Consider the following 6,873-nt stretch of genomic DNA (forward strand, 5'->3'; position numbering starts at 1 on the left):
ACAAAATGATTCTGAAATTTTCACATAAGGGAGGAAATATAATTTCATATACAGGCAATATGAAAATAAAGTTGGATTTAACTCTGACTCCTGCCTCTTCCACCTACAGGTGATATGACCTTGTGCAAGGTTAAGCCCTCTGAGTGTATTTCCTCACTTATACATGAGGTTATAAAATGGTTCATTTTGCAGGGTTACTGTGAAGACTAAATACGATGACACATATGAAAATGCTCCATTTATGCCTGGCAACTGTTCTGCCCGTGTCTTAGGTTAGAGGTTGAAAGGTGAAACTATTGGCTGAATTTGGTTCAAAGATATGTTTTATTTTGCCTTGAGTTAGGGTCCCCAAGACCAGCCCCAAGTTTGATGATTCACTAGGAGGACTTATAGGACTCACATATAGTAATACTCATGATTATGATTGGCAAAAGGATACAAAGCAAAATCAGCAAGGAAAAAGGCACATGGGTCAAAATCCAGGATATACCAGCCACAGACTTTCAAGGGTCATCTCCCATGGAGTTCACACAGGATGTGCTCAATTGCCCCAGTAATGAGTTGTGATAAAACATGTGAAATGATGCCAACCAGGAAATTCATTACAGACTCAGAGCTCAGGGATTTTATTGGGGCCTAGTCATATAGGCAGCCTCTGCTAGGCACATACTCAAATTTCAGAGTCCTAGAAGGAAAGCCAGTAGTCAGCATAAACATGTTGTCTACACAAAAAGTTTAGGCACAGCGAGTCACTCTTACCAGTTCTGGGAATGGTGGGAACCCTCCTGAAATCCAAGTTCCCAGATGCCAGCCAAGGGCCGGCTTTGTAAGCAGGCCTTTCCAAGGATAAGCAGTTAGGGCTGCTACCTCAACTTTTTGTTGCACAGACCTGCACAGGGTTTGTCTGTGCAGGTTTCTTTGTTTTGTTTTATTTGTATTTTACTTAGTTGCCATTTTTTAAATATTAAGATATTTCACTCAGGATTTCCATCTTCATGTGAAAAATCAAGTAGTTAAAAAATAGATTCATATTCCCACATGGCAACAATTGGTAGTCCCTTTTAGATAAGGCTTCATGTTCCCTCAAATTCCTCCTAGTCTCTGCCACTCCCAATAGTCTTTGCCACACTGAGCACCAACTGCCATTTACATCCTGCTTTTGCGAATCTGGCCTTGGCCGCTTGGACCAGGAGTGGCCGCTTGGACCAGGAATGGCCATTTGACCAGATGACAAGAGAAAGAAGCAGGCATGTGGAATACCACTGAGTCGTGATAATGAACAATGATGCAAACAGGTCATGGTTAATGAATTCCTCCTGTTGAGGTCACCAGAAATGCCATGAAATCAGAACTCCTCTTTGCCACCCTCTATTATAGCAGTTACTTGTGGGTATTCTTGGGTTGATATGACAACACTTTCATTGCTATATATAGTAAGTCCTCTTTATTTAAGCTAACTCCAGTCAGTCTTTGCTCCTGCCCACCTAAAGATCACTGATCGGAAAAGTGTTAATATAAATTAATTATTACATATATTTGCCCGTTAGAACTTTGTAACTTGAAGTCATTGTTATTGTCATCCCCACCAAGACTTGTGATCACAGACTAAAATATGTCAACAGAAAGGTAAATCTTGTTCAAAGGAAATCAATCCAATCAAGTAGTTGTATGTATCGATATGCCCTTTTATTTACTAACTCAACTACTGTGTGATAAAATGAAATTTCATCTTTATATTCCTAGCATCTAGAAAACTACCAGCTATGGAGTTGGATTCAATAAATGTTTCCTAACTTTATAAAGTTCATCTATAACAAGGTCTAGAAACCCAAGGATAGAAATAATGAAAATCATTATGCTCATGCTAAAAAGGGGAAAATGCAAGTGATATAATTGCAGTAGTGTGCTGCATGCCACCCAACCATACAAATGTTCTAGATGCTTCTTTTCTCATTCTAGTTACAAAACCGGCACAGATACAAGCTCCAGAGAAGGAACTGCAAAGATTCCAATGTCTGTTGATAGGTTCATTCTACTAAAAGCAAAGAATTTGAAAAGTTCTTTACTTGCTTCCTTGATAGTTTCATTTCTCAGACGACTGAGGAAGCAATTAGGGGATTTTATATTCTAGACTTGACTTTTACTAATAAGAAAAACTGAGTTTTTAAAGTTAGTAAAGTAACTAGAAACTACAAGAACACCAAGAAAAAGAGGCAGTGTCATGCAGATTGCGTATCCCTTATCCATTAAGGTGCTAACATAAGAATTAGGCGTGCTGGGGATTCATTCATTCATTCAACAAATGTTTACTGAATGCTTACTATACGCATGCCTATTTTAGGTTCTGGGTATATGACAGTGAATAACATAGACAAAAATCCATGCTCTGTTGGACCTTGCATTCTAGTTGGGGGACGGGGATAATAAACAGCTATATTAATAAAATATGTAATAGTTCAAATGGTGATATGAACTATGAAGGACAATGTCAGGGAAGAGGAATAGAAATTGCTAGGGAAGAAGGATGCTGTAATTTTATGTAAGGTTATTGGAGAAGGCCTTGAAAAAGGGACATTTGAGCCAAGGTAGATGGGGGAATGAGCTATGTAGGCAAGTGGGAAAAGAGGGAGAGAGAACAGAAGGTATATATGGGTTTGTGCCCTGCTAAGTGAGCCAAGGGAGAGTAGGAGATGAGATTAAAGATTGCAAAATGCCTTGTAGGCTATTGACTTTGGTTTTACTCTGGAATGAGAAGCCGGTAGAGAGTTTGAGCAGGGTAGTGACATAATCTAGCTGACATTTAAAAACGCAGGCGAGAGGGAGGAAGCAGGAGATTAGTGCAATAATCCAGATTAGAGATGTTGCTAGTGTAGACCAAAGTGATAACAGCTGACTTGGTAAAAATAGTCAGATTCTCGACATATTTTGAAGGCAGGGCTACCATGATTGAATTATGGGAGAGGAAAAGTGGCAGAAAGAATTGAGGATGACTCTAAGGTTTTGGCAAGAGTGACTAGAAGGATGGAGATGTGATTAACTGAAATGGAGGAAAACTGTGAAAGGAAGAGTTTTGTAAGAGAAGAGGAGTTCAATTTTTAGACATGTTAAATTTGAGATTCCTTTTACACCTCAAAGTGGAAATGTTGGTAGGCAGTTAAATATATGAGCCTGAAATTTAGGCAAGAGTTCTTGGCTGGAGAGTTATCAGTATATAGGTAATATTTAAAACCATGAGATTAGATGAGATCACTGAAGGAGAGAAAGTATTGGCCAGGTACAGTGGCTCACGCCTGTAGTCCCAGCACTTTGGGAGGCTGAGGCAGGAGCATTGCTTAAGCCTAGAAGTTTAAGACCAGACTGGGCAACACAGTAAGACCCTGCATAGCAAAACCCTGTCTCTACAATTTTTTTTTAATTAGCTGAGGATGGTGGCACACACCTGTAGTCCTAGCTACTCAGGAGGCTAAGGTGGGAGGATCGTTTGAGCCCAAGAGTTAGACGCTGCAGTGAGCTATGATCACACCATGACACTCCAGTCTGAGCAATGGAGTGAGATTCTGTCTCTAAAAAAAAAAAAGAAAAGAAGGAAGGAAGGAAGGAAAAGAAAGAAAGAAAGGAAGGAAGGAAGAGAGAGAGAGAGAGAAAGAAGCATTGAAGATAAGAATATAAGAGTTTCAAGAATGAGGTGTTTCAAAGTTTGGATGTGAGGGTGATGATAAGGAATGAGCAAAGGAGGCTGGAGGCTGAGAGAGAAGTAGCAGCTGAAGAAATAGGAGACAATCTGAGAGAATGAGATGTCCCGGCAGCAAAGGGAATAAAGTGCCTGGAGAGGAGAGAGGTCACTGTCAAGTGAAGAGAAGTCAAGATAAAATAAAGACTTACCTTTGGATTTTACCATGTGGAGGCTTTAACATGGGCAGTTTAAGTGTTGTAAAGGTGAATAAAACACTGTTGGAGTCTGGTCAAGAGAGAATCAGTAGAAAAGAATTTGGAGACTGCAAATTTCAAGCAACAACAACACGCGGTCTATTTCTACATGTTTTGCAATAAAAGGGAGCAGAGAAATGGACAGTAGGTAGAAGAAGAATGTTGGGTCAGGAGGATTTTTTTTAATTGGAGGAATTTGTATGTTGATGGAGTGATCCAATGGAGAGGGGAGGGGAAACTGAGGATGTAGGAGAGTGAAAGCAGAATTGACAGAGCAATGTTCTTGAGGAGGCATGTAAAAACAACAGATGTCTGCTCCAAAAACATATGGGAAATCTTAGAAAGCCCAGATTTTCTAAAAACCCAGAGTAAAGATAACTGCGGTCCTATGACCAACACCATTAAAAAGGGACAGCAGATGCAGAAGAATGGAAGTGTCGAAGGGGTGGAATTCTGATGGAGTGGAGGATTCTGGCTTGAACCTAAATTTGGTCACCATTGGCATTCATTCAGACACATCTGCCTGTGTAGTGACAGGGCATGAATCCTCTGTTTTCATGCATGAGTGGAAGTCTCCTGGGAAAGAATTTCTTCTAAAAGAAGAGAAAGCAGGGCCCTTAAGTTTGGACCAATAACTGGTCAGAGGGGAGGGGTGTTTAGCACACTGTGATGTCTGTCTCTCAGGTTTGGCCTCTGGTCCAGCCTTCATAAATCCATGTCAGATTACTAAGGAGAGGGACATATAAGAATGGACAACTTTATTTCACTAAACTATGTAAGATACTAGGATCATGAAATTATTTTATTTTGCTACTCTTCTGCTCATGATAACACAAAAAGGAGAAAAGCTTGATCCCACTGAGGTGCAGCATGGCCTCAGTGCGTTGAAGACTCCAAAAACCACCTTCTCCTCAACTTTAATGCTCAACGGATCTGCAGTGGAGACCACCTCTTATGTCTGTGACCACAATAGAGGCCAGCTCTCATCACACTGCAGCAGTGGAACCAGTTCCAAGAGTGAGAGAGATTTTAATAGTTTGCAGCTTCAGGACCCCTTAGCATGGACACACCACTGTAATAGTGGACACCAGCTGCAGTGGCAGTGGTCAGGCACTACCAAATGACTTAATAGCAAGCAGAGCTTTAAGCAGCAGACATCACGAGAGGGGGCCAGAATGGGGGAGAATCATGGCAGACACAGACAATAGCTGCTATAACTTGTTTACAAGCACCTGTTATATAACCTAACGGCACCTAGAGACAACTGGATGAGACTTTGAGGGTAGCTAGAACCACAACAGAGGGTTGGGGTAAAACTAATATACAAAACCCTTTATTACTATTAATATGGTTCCATTTTATCCTTAGATTAGTGTGGCTAGGGAAACAGCTTATAAGAAATTACAATCACATATGAAGCTGATAAGGAAGACAATACTAAAAGAAACACATGTGGCTGAAAAGAATGAGCCTATATTGAGAGACATGCTGATGACAGAAAGAGGCAAGAACAAATATGAAGGAAAAACCTCAGGAAAGATAAAGCACAGAACCAGCTGAGGTTAAAGATAACAAAAACAATTGCAGTTTGTTTTTTTTTTTTAAAAAAAAAAAACTATGGAGCAAGAAAATGGTGTAAGCTGACAGATGGCAGAGAAAGTATAACTACTTAACCATTACTTTATTTCTTTACTTTTTTTAAATGAAGAAAATGGCCTTCAAAGTGGGAGGTGAAAAACATAACTAAGCAGGAACTAATCTGGACAGTATAATTATGGTAGATCCTCTTTATTATTTCTTTTGTTTATTTTTTTGAATTAAAAAAAGCATCCACAGACAGTGTGTAAACAAATGGACATGGTTATGTTCTTTTTACTTTATTTTATTTTATTTTATTTTTGAGTGAGAGTCTCACTCTGTTCCCCAGGCTGGAGTGCAATGGCACAGTCTCAGCTCACTGCAACCTCCGCCTCCTATGTTCAAGTGATTCTCCTACCTTAGTCTCCTGAGTAGGAGGGACTACAGGCACGTTGCTACCATGCCTGGCTAATTTTTGTATTTTTAGTGGAGATAGGGTTTCACCATGTTGGCCATGCTGGTCTCAAACTCCTGGCCTCTTCAGCCTCCCAAAGTGCTGGGATTACAGATGTGAGCCACTGCTCTAGGCCCACTTTTCTCTATTTTCTAAAAATAGTTTTAGAATGAGTTATTATCATTTTTAGTTTAGAAAGACTCTATTTGATTGAAAAACAGGGAATTACTATTTGACATAAGTAAAAGATTTCTTAAGCGTTCAACTCAATGCCTTAGATGATGCTAAGCCCACAAACCCAGATTAATTACCTCCTAAGGTACTAAGAGAGAATAGATGTGATGGTGGGACAAGAGCTGATCATTTTAAAGGCATGATGGAGAACAAGAAAGTTGCTAGATTATATCTAATAAGTTTTACAGTTTATAAAGCAATGTTATATGACTAATATTAACTAGTATTATCTGCTATGTGCTAGGCATTGTGCTAGACCAAGAGTCTGCAAACTATGGCCCCCAGGATAAATTCAGCTTGCTGCTTGTTTTTATGTTAAAAACAGTAAATTAAGTGGTTTAAAAAAATCAAAAGAAGAAAACTTTATGACATGAAAATTAGAAAAAAAATCAAACTTCAGTGTACAGAAATAAAATTTTATTAGAACAGGCTGGGCGTGGTGGCTCATGCCTGTAATCCCAGCACTTTGGGAGGCCAAGGTGGGCAGATCACTTGAGATCAGGAGTTTGGGACCAGCCTGGCCAACATGGTGAAACCCCATCTCTACTAAAAATACAAAAATTAGCAGGGCATGGTGGCAGGCACCTGTAATCCCAGCTACCCGGGAGGCTAAGGCAAGAGAATTGCTTGAACCCAGCAGGCGGAGGTTGCAGTGAGCTGAGATCACACCACTGCACTCC

General features: G+C 40.0%; 1 annotated feature.

The window, feature by feature from the left end:
* Positions 482 to 776: a silencer, noted in NCBI's record as "tiled region #7057; HepG2 Repressive non-DNase unmatched - State 23:Low, and K562 Repressive non-DNase unmatched - State 23:Low". NCBI's record gives its function as "represses a minimal TATA promoter and a strong SV40 promoter by Sharpr-MPRA in HepG2 and K562 cells {active_cell/tissue: HepG2 | K562}" and the evidence as "EXISTENCE:reporter gene assay evidence [ECO:0000049][PMID:27701403]".

Source organism: Homo sapiens, chromosome 12, assembly GCF_000001405.40.
Source record: "Homo sapiens chromosome 12, GRCh38.p14 Primary Assembly".
Classification (NCBI taxonomy): Eukaryota; Metazoa; Chordata; class Mammalia; order Primates; family Hominidae; genus Homo; species Homo sapiens.